This window comes from Homo sapiens, chromosome 8 (genome assembly GCF_000001405.40).
Source record: "Homo sapiens chromosome 8, GRCh38.p14 Primary Assembly".
Classification (NCBI taxonomy): Eukaryota; Metazoa; Chordata; class Mammalia; order Primates; family Hominidae; genus Homo; species Homo sapiens.
In genome coordinates this window covers 66,944,877-66,964,021 of record NC_000008.11, presented here as the reverse complement: position 1 = coordinate 66,964,021, position 19,145 = coordinate 66,944,877, and the positions used below count along the sequence as shown (strand labels likewise).

The 19,145-nt window shown below is 42.9% G+C and overlaps 1 protein-coding gene across 1 annotated transcript, besides 3 other annotated features; it reads left to right on the top strand.

Annotated features, from left to right (window-relative positions):
• Window positions 891-960: an enhancer, noted in NCBI's record as "active region_27493". NCBI's record gives its function as "activates an Ori minimal core promoter by ATAC-STARR-seq in GM12878 lymphoblastoid cells {active_cell/tissue: GM12878}" and the evidence as "EXISTENCE:reporter gene assay evidence [ECO:0000049][PMID:35858748]".
• Window positions 1,401-1,450: a silencer, noted in NCBI's record as "silent region_19259". NCBI's record gives its function as "represses an Ori minimal core promoter by ATAC-STARR-seq in GM12878 lymphoblastoid cells {active_cell/tissue: GM12878}" and the evidence as "EXISTENCE:reporter gene assay evidence [ECO:0000049][PMID:35858748]".
• On the top strand, window positions 1,431-17,521 carry TCF24 (transcription factor 24). Its single transcript, NM_001193502.2, has 4 exons — window positions 1,431-1,693; window positions 2,035-2,145; window positions 2,234-2,646; window positions 15,858-17,521. Exons 3-4 carry the CDS (start codon window positions 2,257-2,259, stop codon window positions 15,969-15,971), a joined length of 504 nt encoding a protein of 167 aa, NP_001180431.1. The 5' UTR covers window positions 1,431-1,693; window positions 2,035-2,145; window positions 2,234-2,256; the 3' UTR covers window positions 15,972-17,521.
• Window positions 8,595-9,167: an enhancer, noted in NCBI's record as "H3K27ac-H3K4me1 hESC enhancer chr8:67867090-67867662 (GRCh37/hg19 assembly coordinates)". NCBI's record gives its function as "activates a minimal SCP1, AML or CMV promoter by ChIP-STARR-seq in primed H9 embryonic stem cells {active_cell/tissue: H9 hESC(primed)}" and the evidence as "EXISTENCE:reporter gene assay evidence [ECO:0000049][PMID:30033119]".
• Window positions 17,522-19,145: the final 1,624 nt, after the last annotated feature.

The window sequence follows — 19,145 nt, the reverse complement described above, 5'->3', positions numbered from 1 at the left end:
TCATTACATACAATTTACTGGGAAAATATGTACTTTTTCATTCAGCAATAGAAGTCCCTTGGACGTTGCGATCACAGCTCACTGCAGCCTTAACCTCCTGGGCTCACGAGATCTTCCCGTCTCAGCCTTCGGGGTAGCTGGGACTACACATATAAGCCACTGCACTGGGCCCCTTTTTGAATCAATAGAATATCGGTGTACTTCTTTCTAAAGTGTAAATCTAATTACAGTTATTGGGTGGGAATTGAGATGAAAGTCTAAGTACCATTCTGACTCACTAATGTACTTAATTTGTGGGCCAGTACATCCAAATAGTGCCACCAGGACTGCTGACGGCTTGGTTACAGTAGTTCCAACATAGAAATCTACTGGAAAGTATGAAGTGATGGTGCATATACAAGAGCGCCATTTCTGTAGTGACATTTTAAATTTGATATTCCGTTTGACCCCAAAGAATATAAGAAAATATCCTGCTCTTGGCTTGAGCCCGAGAGTTGGAGGCTGAGGTGAGCCGAGATGGCACCACTGCACTCCAGCCTGGGCGACAGAGACCCTGTCTCAAACACAAAAACAGAAAATGTCCTACTCGGAGAACTGCAGGCATTGTTTCGAGTGTGTTCTAATTATGTTGCTGAAAAGTACTTAGATTTCACCTACGAAGGCGACGGGTCCAGGACCTGCAGAAACCGCTGCGGTTTGGGGCGGTCGGGGACCCACGGCTTCCTGGGGCGGCTCTGAACAGGCCTTGGGGCGCAGCGTCCGCTTTCTAAAGAAGCCTGGGATCGGGTCCTGCCTCGCTGCAAGTCACGCTTCCCGTGAGTCCACAAGTGCAAAACCAGAAAAGAATGTTTCGCCCAAATAATTAAAGAGCGGTGGCCCCCGCGGGGGCAGCGGAGGCGGTCAGCAGGGTCCCCGTCCCCGGGGAGAAGTGCCCACGATCCAAGGGCTGTCTGCTCTAGGAACTTCTTAAAGAATTACAGACACTGAGAGCATTCGGGGTCTGGTAGGAAGTGCAGTGTATCTCCCAGCTTTAGGGTAACTAGGACAGCATGAATCTTTTACCTTGTGGTAGAATAAACGGCTAGCGCCTCGATGTGGCGCGCTCGACTTTTCCTCACAGAGCCTAAAAGTCACGCTCAACCAAACTGCAGCGTTCCCGCCTCAGCTGGGCACCGGCCTGGAAGCGGCCTGGAATCAGACTGGACTCGAGGAGGTAAGACCTCGGCAGCGCGAGGTTAACCACAGGCCTCACCCGCGGCCTCCAGCCCGGCCCCACCGCAGCCGGCGGCAGACACCCCAAACTCTCCACACGCCGCCCTCAGCGAGGCGCCTCGGGGAAAGCAGCGTGAGGCAGTGAGCCGAGGGGCGGGGCCAGGAGGACGCCCCGCCCCCGAGCCCGCCCCGCCGGAGGGTTTGATTAATGACCCTCTAAGCCGCCTCAGCCCCCGGCGTAGCCTCTCCGGTGGGCCAGGTCCTCCGCCCGACCTGCCTTAGCCGGTCGGAGCACACACGCCTGGCCGCGGGGCGCCCGCATAAAAGTCACAGCCAGCGGAGGTTGGAAACAGCCGTCGACTTGGGCATCGGCCGGACGAGGATGGAGTGACCAGCGCGGCCCTGGCCACACAGGCCCTGCTCCACGCCCCTCGCCCGCCCTCACGACGGAGCGGAGCTCCACTCAGCCGCTCCAGGAAAGGTGAGGGGCCCGTCAGACGCGTACTGCGCAGCTCTCGGGCTCGGAACGGTGGCGGGTGCCGTACCCCGAGGTGAGGCTAAGGGTCCCCCGCTCCTCGGGCAGAAATCCCCCCTGGCGTGAAAGGCCGAGGGCGGCTGGTGAGCCGTGGTTTTCCGCGGCGTCGGCGAGAAGGAGCCGCGCCACCTCTCGTGCGTGCCGGGTTGGATAAAGTCACCCAAGCGCGAACGAGTGCTGATCCTGAGCTGTGCTTCCGAGATCTTTCTTCCCGGGTAGAGTAGACCTTTTGCTTAATTTGCCCCTGAAAAGCAAAGCCGGCACTGCGCCTCTTCTTATCCTTCTAGGAAGCCCAAGAACTCCGGAGTTCCGCAACTCTCCCCAGACGTCCGGAAGCAAATCGCGTCCCAGGCAAAACGAGCTCGCTTGAGAGCGCCCTTAGCCCCGTTGGGCTGCTGGTGGGCGCACGGGGAGAACCAGGGGGCTGCGCCTCTCGGGTTAAGCCCGACCGCCCCCCGGCCTCACCGCACCTTCGGTCCTTTGCAGCGCGCGCGGCGCGGGAAGCTGCCATGGACCGCGGCCGCCCAGCGGGCAGCCCCCTCAGCGCCAGCGCCGAGCCCGCGCCCCTGGCCGCCGCCATCCGCGACTCGCGTCCCGGGCGGACCGGGCCGGGGCCGGCGGGCCCTGGGGGCGGCTCGCGTTCCGGGAGCGGGCGGCCGGCGGCGGCGAATGCGGCGCGGGAGCGCAGCCGGGTGCAGACCCTGCGGCACGCTTTCCTGGAGCTGCAGCGCACGCTGCCGTCCGTGCCGCCCGACACCAAGCTGTCCAAGCTGGACGTGCTGCTGCTGGCCACCACCTACATCGCGCATCTCACCCGCAGCCTGCAGGACGACGCCGAGGCGCCGGCGGACGCCGGGTTGGGCGCCCTGCGCGGCGATGGCTACCTGCACCCGGTCAAGGTAAGCGGGCGGGGCGCACCGCGGGGCTGGGGCCGAGACCAGGACACCTTGATCTGCCCTGCCAGTCACCGTCTTGGGTAGATGCTCTAATTCCTTTTCGGGTGAGGCGGGAAGCCGACCGGGAGAACGACCTCGGCCCGCGAGGGTACTGGTGGCAAGGTCCCCGCCGCGAAAGCCGGCTCCTTCGCGGTTCACAGGTGGCTGGAGAGGCGTTTAAAGCCGGGGTGGCTTGGTAAGAGTCTCGCAAGCCTCTTACAGGATGCCTCCGAAGGATTTTTGTGCCTACCAAGGTGAGAAATGGGGGCTTGGTTGCACATCCTGATAATGTTTAATATCTGAGTTATATGTATGACCCTCTGAGAGTTTTTAAGCATCTTTTATTTACATAATTACGCTTTCATTGATTTTTATGGGATATTTGAAAGATTTCACTGGAGTAATGGCCCTAAGTGATTCTAGGAAAACACTGTTGAAATTTTTTGGTAAAACTAATAAGAACAAATGAGACCATTCTGCATCTCTATGGAGTAAAATTTGTCCGTTTAAATAAAGGTTAAATATCATAGACTTGACAGCTACCAAAAGTGTTAGAAAAAACTAGTGTTTTTAAATACGTTCGTAATAGATTGGCATGTATGTTGAGTGAATTGATTACTAAATTCAAAGTCTCATGTACAAAATTAGACAAGAGAATCCATTTTGCGTAATTTCTTTACATATTGGTAAAATGGTCACAGTTTTCACTTAACATGGTATATATGATTATGCTTCGTTACCTACTGCAGTATTCAGTTTTTGCATCATCCTCCTCTTCTAGATTTGATTGTTTTGAAACCTTACACTGATTTTTCTGTTCCAAATGCATCATCTCATTACTTGCTAAACCTAAATTTTCAGTTTTGGCTCCACCACCCTGAAATATTTGGCCACACGCGCGCACACACACACACACACACAAATGCAAAGTTAAGACTTAAGACTTAGCTTTAAGTATATCAGTGTTCAATAAATTATTTAATATGGTAAAGCACACCCTCTGATATTAACTGAACTTACAATTCTGTGATAAGTTTTAACAAAATTTACTTTGCAAATATAATCATAATGATAGACTTAAATGATTTCAATATTAAATATGAAGACATGAAATATCATTATAATTACGATAGACTTTATTTCATTTGTAAGTTTTATAATCTCAGCAGAAAAGTCATTATTAAGGGGTTTTGTATTACCGTGTTCATTAGATTGCTATTCGAATATACCATTAATATTAAATTTCTTTTGACTTGACATTTGCCATATACTCTAAGGAAGTTTATTTTAATGTGAAGTAGATTGTAATACAAAGAGCATCTGTTAAATACTTTATGGGAGATATAATTCAGAATGAGAAGTCAGGATGCTTTTCAACTTATTTTCTTGGAATGCTTTTTTTGAATGAATAATGTTGGAAGCATCATTTCCATGTAATAATAAGCATAGCAAGCGTCTTTTTGCACTTGATTCATGTACCAAATGTTTTTGTAATCATAACTGTTTTTATTTGTAAATATTGATTGTTTTTATTTTAAAAGACAACTCTAGAGATAATGATCCAAAGCCAAGGATTATTTTTTTAAATGAAATTAATGTTGCTTGAACAAGTGACTAAAATCAAGCATGTTTTAAAATCAAACATTTATTGAATTCCTACTATGTGCAAAGCACTATTTTAGGGGAGTGAACACAATTAATAAGACTCAGTCCCTTTCCTATATGAACATATTATTGAGACAAAGACAAAGAAACAAATAACAGTGTTGGAAGTGAGAATGTTATATTTTCCATAAAAGAACTATAATTATGTGCTACGGAAGTTCAGAGGAAAGAGATGTTATGTACATAATTGAAACCGCCTGTTAACTGTTAACACATTATTTTACAGACACTACCAAAATGTTTAAACATTGTCTACCTTTGATTAATGCGAAAGAAATTAAAATATCCTAACTATTTATACTTTTATGGTCAACTAAAGGCTCATTATAAACTATTGTTTGTAAAAAGTGTTCTAAAATGACTTCATTTTTCTGCCTTACAACATAGTGTTAGGTCTTACCCTGATGATCAAAGCTTTTTAACAAATATTTCAAGGCCATTATTTTGAATCATCAGTCCTTATTATCAGTATTGTTAGCACATTACCACTGTTGGGGATTTACTTTAAGAGCATTTCATAGCAAGACTTCCTCTCTACTAAGAATTTTAAAAATTAGGTGGCTGTGGTGTGTGCACCTGTAGTCCCAGCTACTGGGGAGGCTTATGCGAGAGGACTGCTTGAGCCCAAGAGATTGTGGCTACATTGCACCACTGCATGCCTGGGCAACTGAGCAAGACCCTGTCTCAAAAAAGAAAACAAACATCTCAAATGAAACTGGAAGTTTAAGAGACTGGGAACCTGGTGCATAGCCTGAAATGGCAGTTTTTAATCCCTGTGGGGTATGAGCAATTTATTTCCATCAGCATCAGCTGCCCAAAAGGCAGTGATTCGCTAAGAAACAGGAGTGTATTTCAGATCTCTACATTGGCAGAAAAACACAGATGACTTTATTATTGTGCCCCTTATTTAATAATCATTGTCTATGATAGGTAAACAATAATTGAAAAAAATAGATAACAGGGTTTTGTTACTTTTGAGTCACTTAATTAAGTGCTTTTTTGTTGTTGTTGTTTGAGATGGAGTCTCTCTCTGTCACCCAAGCTAGAGTGCAGTGGTGCGATCTCAGCTCACTGCAACCTCCGTCTCCCATGTTCAAGTGATTCCCCTGCCTCAGCTTCCCGAGTAGCTGGGACTATAGGCGTGCAATACCACACCTGGCTAATTTTTGTATTTAGTAGACATGGAGTTTCACCATGTTGGCCAGGATGGTCTTGATCTCCTGACCTCATGATCCACCCACCTCAGCCTCCCAAGAGCTGGGATTTTTAAGGTCTTCAGTTTCAGGTTCAGTTCTAGTTAATTATGAGTTTGCTAAATTTTCTAAGCTTAATGAAACTACAGTAAATGGTTTTAAAGATACCCTATGAGGGAAAGTAGAGCTAAGTAAGGATTGTGTTAATCTGCACAATCCTGAAACAAACTGTTGAAAAGAAAATGTAAATCAGTCAACTGGCTTTTTTGGCATCCTGATGACATGCAACCTAACCAATATTCTATGTACATTTTAATTTCAGACTCTTAAAACTGTGTGTCTACATTAAATTAAGTTCAATAAAATCATTACAAGCCTTTTTGAAAATCAAGGACACAATATTCTTAAAAAAGAATATTTATTTTATTAATCCATGAAAAAGGAGGCACAATTTCACATATACAATTTTAGGTTTGCTTCGTTAATTTTATCCTAGCAAGGATGAAATAGACGCCTTCATTTGTCTCCACACTTGGCTGAATGATTTAGAGCAATTCTTTTTTTTTTTTTTTTTTTTTTTTTTTTTAGCAATTCTTAACACAGTGGGACCTGGATAGCATGTAAGAGGACCACCAGTAGAGCATTCAGTAGTATTTTAATTTTATTTGCTTTCAAGTGTATTTAGTTCATATAATTCTCAATTTACATTTGACATTTGAGCATGAGATTTTTATGCTTATGAAAATGGGGCAGGTAAAAGGTTTCAAAGCACTGGTATATAATGTAGCCACAAATTATGCACTTAAAGTTGATATCTGTGCTACACTATTCACTATATGTATTAGTCTGCCATAACAAAATACCACAGACTGGCTCTTTTAAACAACAGAAATTTATTTTCCCACAGTCTGGAGACTGGAAAATCCAAAATCAAGATGCAGGGTTTAGTTCCTCGGAAGGGCTATCTTGCTAGCTTGTAGATGGCCCACTTCTCTCTGTGTTCTCACTTGGCCTCTACATGTACACAGAGAGAGAGAGATTCCTCTTTTTTTTTTTTTTTTTTTGATATGGAGTTTCACTCTTATTGCCTAAGCTGGAGTGCAGTGGTGTGATCTCGGCTCACTGCAACCTCCGCCTCCTGGGTTCAAGCAATTCTTCTGCCTCAGCCTCCCAAGTAGCTGGGATTATGGATGCCCACCACCACGCCCAGCTAATATTTGTATTTTTGGTAGAGACAGGGTTTCACCGTGCTGGCCAGGCTGGTCTTAAATTCCTGACCTCAGGTGATCCACCCACCTCGGCCTCCCAAAGTACTGGGATTACATGAGCCACTGCATCCAGCCTTTTTTTTTTTTTTTTTTTTTTTTTTTGAGACGGAGTCTTGCTCTGTCGTCAGGCTAGAGTGTAGTGGTGCGATCTGGACTTACTGCAACCTCCGCCTCCTGGGTTGAAGCGATTCCCATGTTGCCCAGGATGGTTTTGATCTCTTGACCTTGTAATCTGCCCGCCTCAGTCTCCTAAAGTGCTGGGCTTACAGGCATGAGCCACTGCCCCCGGCCCGATTCTCCTCTTCTTAAATGGGTATTAGTCCCTCATGAGCTAATCTAACTCTTTTTACCTCCCAAAGGCCTGGTCTTTAAATCCCATCACCTTAGAGGTAAGAGCTTCAACATGTACATTTTGGAAGGACACAAACATTCAGTCTGTAACACTACAGCACTGGGGTCTTCAGCATAATGAAGGACTTTAATCTGATATAACAATGCCAGATCTTGATATATCAGATAAACCTCACTCCAGTTTCTAAAACATATTAGTTTGGCTGGGCGTGGTGGCTTACACTGTAATCCCAGCACTTTGGAAGGCTGAGGCGGGCGGGTCACTTGCGGTCAGGAGTTCGGGACCAGCCTGGCCAACATGGCAAAACCCCATCTCTACTAAAAATACAAAAATTAGCCGGGCATGGTGGCACATGCCTGTAATCCCAGCTACTTGGGAGGCTCAGGCAGGAGAATCACTTGAACCCAGGAGGTGGAGGTTGCAGTGAGCCAAGATCTGCCACTGCACTCCAGCCTGGGTGACAGAGCAAGACTCTGTCTCAAAAAAAATAAAAATAAAAAACACATTAGTTTATCTTTGGCAAAGATCCCAGGAACAGGACCACTGACAATGATACACCTAGAATGTATAGGAATGCATATGTATTATTTTTAAAAATTGAGTCCAGGCATGGTGGCTCACCACCTGTAATCCCAGCACTTTGGGAGGCTGAGGCAGGAGGCTCACTTGAGCCCAGGAGTTCAAGACCACCCTTGAACTCAAAGCAACATAGTGAGACTCTGCCTCTGTAAAAACAAACAAACAAACAAACAAACAAGTTTTTAATTAGCCCAGCGTGGTAGCACGCACCTGTAGTCCTAACTCAGGAAGCTGAGGCAGGAAGATTGCATGAACCCAGCAGGTTTAAGCTGCAGTGAGCCATGATCACACCACTACCACTCCAGCCTGTGCAGCAGAATGAGACCCTGTCTCATAAAAAAAAATAATAATAAAATAAATTTAAAAAAATAAAAATTAGGACTTTGGTTGGTTGCCACAGAACAAAACTTTCCAGATAGTATCACATGCCCACTTATTCTTTATGGCTATGTTTTACATTTGGAGTCCCAGTTTAGGTGAAAATAACTGTGCTCACAAGTGCAATGAGAGTTTATATTATTCCATCTAAGATCTAACTCTGCTTACATTCTATTAACTCTGTAACAGAAGTAATAGTCCATTCTGACTTAATTGGTCTGGGGTGTGACTTTGCCATCAGTATTTATTTAAAGCTCTCTGGGTGAGTCTAATATTAGCAACTTGGGTTGTGAACCCAGAGCTCTTAATGTTCTTTGGCATGTTAATAATTGTACCTCTATTTGAGCACTGTGGATTATCTACCAGGCATTTAAAAACATTTTATGGTGCTATGTAACTAGCAGTTGGCCTGTGTGTGTTCCGTGATGAAGATAAGTAGCCTGCTTACATAAGGCAGCACTTGCTCCCTGGAGAGTGTGGGACCAGATTGCTGACCTTTAGGAGTTGTATTTTTTTTTTTTTTAGTCCCTCTCTGTAGTAAAAAAAAACAAAAGTAGTATTCCAAGGATCTTAGAACTTAACTGATTATATGACACCTGCCTCCCTCCCAAAAGAGTTTTATTCTGAAAGAACTACTCATGTAATATGTTTTTTCATCATTATGTCTGTCTGGCAATAAATTATATTGTTTGAGAGATTGCCCACCATAAAGATGAATTTAGAAAAATCACCATCAGTAATTCAAATGTGATGATTACCAAAAGGTTAGAGCTAGATGATGTCGAGGGGAGGAGCCAAGATGGCCGAATAGGAACAGCTCCGGTATACAGCTCCCAGCGTGAGCGACGCAGAAGACGGGTGATTTCTGCATTCCCATCTGAGGTACCGGGTTCATCTCACTAGGCAGTGCCAGACAGTGGGCGCAGGTCAGTGGGTGCGCGCACCGTGTGCGAGCCAAGGCAGGGCGAGGCATTGCCTCACTTGGGAAGCGCAAGGGGTCAGGGAGTTCCCTTTCCGAGTCAAAGAAAGGGATGACGGACGCACCTGGAAAATTGGGTCACTCCCACCCGAATATTGCGCTTTTCGGACCGGCTTAAAAAACGGCACACCACGAGATTATATCCCGCACCTGGCTCGGAGGGTCCTACGCCCACGGAGTCTCACTGATTGCTAGCACAGCAGTCTGAGATCAAACTGCAAGGCGGCAGCGAGGCTGGGGGAGGGGCGCCCGCCATTGCCCAGGCTTGCTTAGGTAAACAAAGCAGCCTGGAAGCTCGAACTGGGTGGAGCCCACCACAGCTCAAGGAGGCCTGCCTGCCTCTGTAGGCTCCACCTCTGGGGGCAGGGCACAGACAAACAAAAAGACAGCAGTAACCTCTGCAGACTCAAATGTCCCTGTCTGACAGCTTTGAAGAGAGCAGTGGTTCTCCCAGCACGCAGCTGGAGATCTGAGAACGGGCAGACTGCCTCCTCAAGTGGGTCCCTGACCCCTGACCCCCGAGCAGCCTAACTGGGAGGCACCCCCGAGCAGGGGCACACTGACACCTCACACGGCAGGGTATTCCAACAGACCTGCAGCTGAGGGTCCTGTCTGTTAGAAGGAAAACTAACAAACAGAAAGGACATCCACACCAAAAACCCATCTGTACATCACATCATCAAAGACCAAAAGTAGATAAAACCACAAAGATGGGGAAAAACAGAACAGAAATACTGGAAACTCTAAAATGCAGAGCACCTCTCCTCCTCCAAAGGAACGCAGTTCCTCACCAGCAACGGAACAAAGCTGGATGGAGAATGACTTTGACGAGCTGAGAGAAGAAGGCTTCAGACGATCAAATTATTCCGAGCTATGGGAGGACATTCAAACCAAAGGCAAAGAAGTTGAAAACTTTGAAAAAAATTTAGAAGAATGTATAACTAGAATAACCAATACAGAGAAGTGCTTAAAGGAGCTGATGGAGCTGAAAACCAAGGCTCGAGAACTACGTGAAGAATGCAGAAGCCTCAGGAGCCAATGCGATCAACTGGAAGAAAGGGTATCAGCAATGGAAGATGAAATGAATGAAATGAAGCGAGAAGGGAAGTTTAGAGAAAAAAGAATAAAAAGAACTGAGCAAAGCCTCCAAGAAATATGGGACTATGTGAAAAGACCAAATCTATGTCTGATTGGTGTACCTGAAAGTGACGGGGAGAATGGAACCAAGTTGGAAAACACTCTGCAGGATATTATCCAGGAGAACTTCCCCAATCTAGCAAGACAGGCCAACATTCAGATTCAGGAAATACAGAGAACGCCACAAAGATACTCCTCGAGAAGAGCAACTCCAAGACACATAATTGTCAGATTCACCAAAGTTGAAATGAAGGAAAAAATGTTAAGGGCAGCCAGAGAGAAAGGTCGGGTTACCCTCAAAGGGAAGCCCATCAGACTAACAGCGGATCTCTCGGCAGAAACCTTACAAGCCAGAAGAGAGTGGGGGCCAATATTCAACATTCTTAAAGAAAAGAATTTTCAACCCAGAATTTCATATCCAGCCAAACTAAGCTTCATAAGTGAAGGAGAAATAAAATACTTTACAGACAAGCAAATGCTGAGAGATTTTGTCACCACCAGGCCCGCCCTAAAAGAGCTCCTGAAGGAAGCGCTAAACATGGAAAGGAACAACCGGTACCAGCCGCTGCAAAATCATGTCAAAATGTAAAGATCATCGAGACTAGGAAGAAACTGCATCAACTAACGAGCAAAATCACCAGCTAACATCATAATGACAGGATCAAATTCACACATAACAATATTAACTTTAAATGTAAATGGACTAAATGCTCCAATTAAAAGACACAGACTGGCAAATTGGATAAAGAGTCAAGACCCATCAGTGTGCTGTATTCAGGAAACCCATCTCACGTGCAGAGACACACATAGGCTCAAAATAAAAGGATGGAGGAAGATCTACCAAGCAAATGGAAAACAAAAAAAGGCAGGGGTTGCAATCCTAGTCTCTGATAAAACAGACTTTAAACCAACAAAGATCAAAAGAGACAAAGAAGGCCATTACATAATGGTAAAGGGATCAATTCAACAAGAAGAGCTAACTATCCTAAATATATATGCGCCCAATACAGGAGCACCTAGATTCATAAAGCAAGTCCTGAGTGACCTACAAAGAGACTTAGACTCCCACACATTAATAATGGGAGACTTTAACACCCCACTGTCAACATTAGACAGATCAACGAGACAGAAAGTCAACAAGGATACCCAGGAATTGAACTCAGCTCTGCTCCAAGCGGACCTAATAGACATCTACAGAACTCTCCACCCCAAATCAACAGAATATGCATTTTTTTCAGCACCACACCACACCTATTCCAAAATTGACCACATACTTGGAAGTAAAGCTCTCCTCAGCAAATGTAAAAGAACAGAGATTATAACAAACTATCTCTCAGACCACAGTGCAATCAAACTAGAACTCAGGATTAAGAATCTCACTCAAAACCGCTCAACTACATGGAAACTGAACAACCTGCTCCTGAATGACTACTGGATACATAACGAAATGAAGGCAGAAATAAAGATGTTCTTTGAAACCAACGAGAACAAAGACACAACATACCAGAATCTCTGGGACGCATTCAAAGCAGTGTGTAGAGGGAAATTTATAGCACTAAATGCCCACAAGAGAAAGCAGGAAAGATCCAAAATTGACATCCTAACATCACAATTAAAAGAACTAGAAAAGCAAGAGCAAACACATTCAAAAGCTAGCAGAAGGCAAGAAATAACTAAAATCAGAGCAGAAATGAAGGAAATAGAGACACAAAAAACCCTTCAAAAAATTAATGAATCCAGGAGCTGGTTTTTTGAAAGGATCAACAAAATTGATAGACTGCTAGCAAGACTAATAAAGAAAAAAAGAGAGAAGAATCAAATAGACACAATAAAAAATGATAAAGGGGATATCACCACCGATCCCACAGAAATACAAACTACCATCAGAGAATACTACAAACACCTCTACGCAAATAAACTAGAAAATCTAGAAGAAATGGATAAATTCCTTGACACATACACTCTCCCAAGACTAAACCAGGAAGAAGTTGAATCTCTGAATAGACCAATAACAGGAGCTGAAAGTGTGGCAATAATCAATAGTTTACCAACCAAAAAGAGTCCAGGACCAGATGGATTCACAGCCGAATTCTACCAGAGGTACAAGGAGGAACTGGTACCATTCCTTCTGAAACTATTCTACTCAACAGAAAAAGAGGGAATCCTCCCTAACTCATTTTATGAGGCCAGCATCATTCTGATACCAAAGCCGGGCAGAGACACAACCAAAAAAGAGAATTTTAGAAGCCAATATCCTTGATGAACATTGATGCAAAAATCCTCAATAAAATACTGGCAAAACGAATCCAGCAGCACATCAAAAAGCTTATCCACCATGATCAAGTGGGCTTCATCCCTGGGATGCAAGGCTGGTTCAATATACGCAAATCAATAAATGTAATCCAGCATATAAACAGAGCCAAAGACAAAAACCACATGATTATCTCAATAGATGCAGAAAAGGCCTTTGACAAAATTCAACAACCCTTCATGCTAAAAACTCTCAATAAATTAGGTCTTGATGGGACATATTTCAAAATAATAAGAGCTATCTATGACAAACCCACAGCCAATATCATACTGAATGGGCAAAAACTGGAAGCATTCCCTTTGAAAACTGGCACAAGACAGGGATGCCCTCTCTCACCACTCCTATTCAACATAGTGTTGGAAGTTCTGGCCAGGGCAATTAGGCAGGAGAAGGAAATAAAGGGTATTCAATTAGGAAAAGAGGAAGTCAAATTGTCCCTGTTTGCAGACGACATGATTGTATATCTAGAAAATCCCATTGTCTCAGCCCAAAATCTCCTTAAGCTGATAAGCAACTTCAGCAAAGTCTCAGGATACAAAATCAATGTACAAAAATCACAAGCATTCTTATACACCAACAGCAGACAAACAGAGAGCCAAATCATGAGTGAACTCCCATTCACAATTGCTTCAAAGAGAATAAAATACCTAGGAATCCAACTTACAAGGGATGTGAAGGACCTCTTCAAGGAGAACTACAAACCACTGCTCAATGAAATAAAAGAGGATACAAACAAATGGAAGAACATTCCATGCTCATGGGTAGGAAGAATCAATGTCGTGAAAATGGCCATACTGCCCAAGGTAATTTACAGATTCAGTGCCATCCCCATAAAGCTACCAATGACTTTCTTCACAGAATTGGAAAAAACTACTTTAAAGTTCATATGGAACCAAAAAAGAGCCCGCATCGCCAAGGCAATCCTAAGCCAAAAGAACAAAGCTGGAGGCATCACACTACCTGACTTCAAACTATACTACAAGGCTACAGTAACCAAAACAGCATGGTACAGAGATATAGATCAATGGAACAGAACAGAGCCCTCAGAAATAACGCCGCATATCTACAACTATCTGATCTTTGACAAACCTGAGAAAAGCAATGGGGAAAGGATTCCCTATTTAATAAATGGTGCTGGGAAAACTGGCTAGCCATATGTAGAAAGCTGAAACTGGATCCCTTCCTTACACCTTATACAAAAATCAATTCAAGATGGATTAAAGACTTAAACGTTAGACCTAAAACCATAAAAACCCGAGAAGAAAACCTAGGCATTACCATTCAGGACATAGGCATGGGCAAGGACTTCATGTCTAAAACACCAAAAGCAATGGCAACAAAAGACAAAATTGACAAATGGGATCTAATTAAACTAAAGAGCTTCTGCACAGCAAAAGAAACTACCATCAGAGTGAACAGGCAACCTACAAAATGGGAGAAAATTTTCGCAACCTACTCATCTGACAAAGGGCTAATATCCAGAATCTACAATGAACTCAACCAAATTTACAAGAAAAAAACAAACAACCCCATCAAAAAGTGGGCGAAGGACATGAACAGACACTTCTCAAAAGAAGACATTTATGCAGCCAAAAAACACATGAAAAAATGCTCATCATCACTGGCCATCAGAGAAATGCAAATCAAAACCACAATGAGATACCATCTCACACCAGTTAGAATGGCAATCATTAAAAAGTCAGGAAACAACAGGTGCTGGAGAGGATGTGGAGAAACAGGAACACTTTTACACTGTTGGTGGGACTGTAAACTAGTTCAACCATTGTGGGAAGTCAGTGTGGCGATTCCTCAAGGATCTAGAACTAGAAATACCATTTGACCCAGCCATCCCATTACTGGGTATATACCCAAAGGATTATAAATCATGCTGCTATAAAGAGACATGCACACGTATGTTTATTGCGGCATTATTCACAATAGCAAAGACTTGGAACCAACCCAAATGTCCAACAATGATAGACTGGATTAAGAAAATTTGTCACATATACACCATGGAATACTATGCAGCCATAAAAAATGATGAGTTCATGTCCTTTGTAGGGACATGGATGAAATTGGAAATCATCATTCTCAGTAAACTATCGCAAGAACAAAAAACCAAACACCGCATATTCTCACTCATAGGTGGGAATTGAACAATGAGATCACATGGACCCAGGAAGGGGAATATCACACTCTGGGGACTGTGGTGGGGTGGGAGGAGGGGGGAGGGATAGCATTGGGAGATATACCTAATGCTAGATGACGAGTTAGTGGGTGCAGCGCACCAGCATGGCACATGTATACGTATGTAACTAACCTGCACAATGTGCACATGTACCCTAAAACTTAAAGTATAATAAAAAAAAAAGAAAAAAAAAGAGCTAGATGATGTCAATACATACAGACATTTAATCAGGATGTTCTCTTAGTATCATACCAAATATTCTAATATTTATGACTTCTAGATATCGTTTTTTAGCTAGATAAGATTTAGCTCACGCCTGTAATCCCAGCACTTTGGGAGGCTGAGGCGGGTGGATCACTTGAGGTCAGGAGTTCAAGACCGACGTGGACAGCGTGGTAATACCCTGTCTCTACTAAAAATACAAAAATTAGCCAGGCTTGGTGGTATGCTCCTATAATCCTAGCTACTCAGGAGGCTGAGGCAGGAGAATCACTTGAACCCAGGAGATGGAGGTTGCAGTGAACCGAGATTGTGCCACTGCACTCCAGCCTGGGTAACAGAGCGAGACTCCGTCTCAAAAAAAATAGATAGATAGATAGATAGATAGATAGATAGATAGATAGATAGATAGATAGTTGACACTTTTCATTGTGGTCCTTTTACATCTATAGACACATAATACCACATAGAACTTTTTAAAATATAGTGCTCACTTCAGCAGCACATATACTAAAATTGGAACTTTTAAAAATATTTTTAAAGCCCAGGATCTAGTTTTAGTCTTAATTTTGTTTTAGGTTTAGTTTAAAATTAAAACATTACGGGCAGATATATTTTTCTACACTTTAACTATATTTATTTTTCATGATTTCTTGCAGTTCTTGTCCATAAGCACACATATTACTTCTAAAATGTTAATCAAAGTCTGAGTATATTTTTGTTTTTTACTGTTAGCATTAATAAACATTTTTTCTTGTTGTTTCTTATACTTCATACTTATAATTGTTATTAGCTACATAATATTGCATTTGCATTGGGCTATTTACAATCTTTAACATTGTAGACCATGTTAATATATGTCATAGATACTAACTTTTGAATTCTTGTTGAAATAATCTTTTTCAGAAATGGCCCATGCGATCAAGATTGTACATCGGTGCTACTGGTCAGTTTCTGAAGCATTCTGTTTCTGGAGAAAAAACAAATCATGACAACACTCCAACAGACTCACAGCCTTAGGCTCTCCCCTGGTGGGGGCTGGTAGAAGTGGTGGCTATTGTTTTTAAATACTATGACATAATTCTATATTTATTATATGAGACATAACAAAATTTCTGAAAGTTTACATGTGAACCCATAGTTGGATGTTCAGGTTTATCTGTCTAAATGTGGAATGAAATAATCAGTGTTATATAAAACACACAGCTTATCTGTTCAGTGTGAGAGTCACTACTATATAGTGCAAGAGAAATTATTAGAAAAAAGTCACATGAAAGCAAACAATTGTGTATATAGCTAAAGAATGCAATATAGATATTGCTATAGTGTATCTATTACAAACAGAAAAGTTCATATCTATTGGTGCAGTCTTCCTAGTTTAAAAAGATAAAAATCTGTGTTTATAATATACGAGTATTCCTTTTTTGTGAAAACCATACTGTTCTTAAGTTGATCTAAGACACCATTTCAATTGAAGAAAACTGTTGCAGTAATATGAAGATGCAATAAATTCAATAAGTAGTTACTTTTCCCTCTTAGAAAACTTGTTTGGAGTATTAGAAATGGTTTGCTCAGAGGACAGGGCTTGGTCACCTTCCTAGAGGGTTATTCTGTATCTTACAGTGTTTGCAACTTGTGGAAGGCACTGGGAATCCCTGCAGTCCAGTGTGAACAGGAGACCAGGTGTCAGCGGACAGCAGAGTTCACAATGTAGGTGCATGTCACCACACCTGGCTAATTCTTTTATTTTTTGTAGAGATGGAGTCTCACTGTGTTGCCTAGGCTACTCTTGAAATCCTGGCTCAATAAATCCTCCTGCCTCACCTACCAAAGTGTTGGGATTATAGGCTAGAGCCACCGTGCCTGGCCCAGTTTTATTGTTTTAATGTGAATATACTCATAATGTGACAGAAGCATATCTTTTTGCAAGAAAGATATATAATAGTTCTCTACATATTAATATGTAGAAAAGTACTTGCATATTTAAATATTTGTAAACATATTTACCTACTCATGGAAAGAAATAAAAAGTAAAATGAGATTTGGATTCAGCCATTCACTATTATAAGTTATTGACATAAGAAGTGCTAAAAAGAATCTTTATCCTAAGGAATGAAATCAAAACTTCTTCAAAGTTACCTCAAACTGAATTGTAAACACTAAATTTAACAGCAAGAATTTCAGAAAAATGATTTTCTTGCTAATAATTCTTAAGATTTATTAGTTTGGCTAGTTTTTAAAGCATTTAACTGGGGAAAAAACTATGTGTTGAATAATTAGATTTCTAAGTCATCCTGTTAAATAGTTAGTAGAGCTTTGCCTTTGATGGTATTACTTTTTAATTCTTCTCATCCAGTTACAAGTTGTATTAATGCCAAAGAAGTGTATTTGTTACAGATTTTCATAACATTTTATTAAATTGCTAGATATGATGATAGGTTTTGGTATGTTTACAGAGGAGAAATTGCATATTTTCACTCAGATTCAAAAGAGCATGCTCTTTTAATGCTTTAATGGTGAATGGTCATGATAAGAGGTATTATAAAAATAAAGTACTAATTTGAAAATTAGTCTGTTAAATTTGCGTTTCTCTCTTTGGATATTTAACAAACACCGAAGCTACTTTTGAAAATCTTTTTAGACGATAGATACCTACTTGGTGTTAGCTTCTTTTTTACCGCGCTTTTTTTTTTTTTTTTTTGAGACAGAGTCTCACTCTGTTTCGCAGGCTAGAGTACAGTGGCACAATCTCCACTCACTGCAACCTCCACCTCTTGGGTTCAAGCGATTCTCGTGTCTCAGCCTCCTGAGTAAGTGGGACTACAGGCATGTACCACCATGCCTACCTAACTTTTGTATTTTTAGTAGGAGACAGGGTTTCACCATGTTGGCCAGGCTGGTCTCAAACTCCTGACCTCAACTGATCCGCCTGCCTCGGCCTCCCAAAGTGCTGGGATTACAGGCACGAGCCACGGCACCCAGCCTCTGTTGTTTTTCGAGATGGAGTCTCACTCTGCTGCCCAGGCTGGAGTGCAGTGGCGAGATCTCAGCTCACTTCAATCTCCACCTCCCAGGTTCAAGCGATTCTCCTGCCTCAGCCTCCCAAGTAGCTGGGATTACAGAGGCGCGCCACCATGCCCAGCTAATTTTTGTATTTTGGGTAGAGATGGGGTTTTGTCATGTTGCCCAGGCTGTTCTCAAACTCCTGGCCTCAAGTGATCCACCCACCTCAGCCTCCCAAACAGCTGGGATTACAGGCATGAGCCACCACTGAGGAAATAATCTAATACAAAACATCTCTTTACAGTGGCCAACATGATTCACTTAGAAATGAACACGTGATTTATATTTGTTATCATGACATGATAAGACAAGTGGCTTGTTGGCTCCATGTATAATTGTATTGTTCTTATTAGCTGGCAGGGAGAAGAAACCACAAATCAGACTGCTTCTGATCTCAATTTATATATTAGATATTTTGAGAGATGGCTTAATCTAAATGCTCTTTTCTTACTATGTGTGGGTTACTGCAAATTATATCAATTGTGTATTTTATTTGAAAAGCTAGGAACTTTGACTCCTCTAGCACTAGCAGATTCTGTCTTAACCTGGTGACAAATTAATGAGGTTTTTGTTTTTTGTTTTGTTTTGGTTTTTGAGACAGTCTCGCTCTGTCGCCCAGGCTGGAGTGCGGTGGCATGATCTCGGCTCACTGCAAGCTCCGCCTCCGGGGTTCACACCATTCTCCTGCCTCAGCCTCCCAAGTAGCTGGGACTACAGGTGCCCGCAGCCACACCCAGCTGATTTTTTTGTATTTTTAGTAGAGACGGGGTTTCACCATGTTAACCAGGATGGTCTTGGTCTCCTGACCTCGTGATCCACCCACCTCAGCCTCCCAAAGTGCTGGGATTACAGGCGTCAGCCACCGCGTCCGGCTGAGTTTTTTTAAATCATTGCTGGTGGCCGGGCGAGGTGGCTCATGCCTGTAATCCCAGCACTTTAGGAAGCCAGGGTGGGAGGATCACTTGAGGTCAGAAGGTCGAGACCAGCCTGGGCAACACGGTGAAACCCCTTCCTTCTCTACTAAAAATACAAAAAAAAAAATAGCAGGGCTTGGTGTGTGTGCCTGTAGTGCCAGCTACTCAGGAGGCTGAGGTGAGAGGATTGCCTGAGCCTGGGAGATTGAGGCTGCAA

Excerpts from the sequence above, each read along its gene's own strand:
- TCF24 (NM_001193502.2), top strand. The coding sequence starts at position 2,257 with ATGGACCGCGGCCGCCCAGCGGGCAGCCCCCTCAGCGCCAGCGCCGAG. Across the intron at positions 2,647-15,857 it reads GCTACCTGCACCCGGTCAAG|AAATGGCCCATGCGATCAAG; the intron begins GTAAGCGGGCGG and ends AATCTTTTTCAG.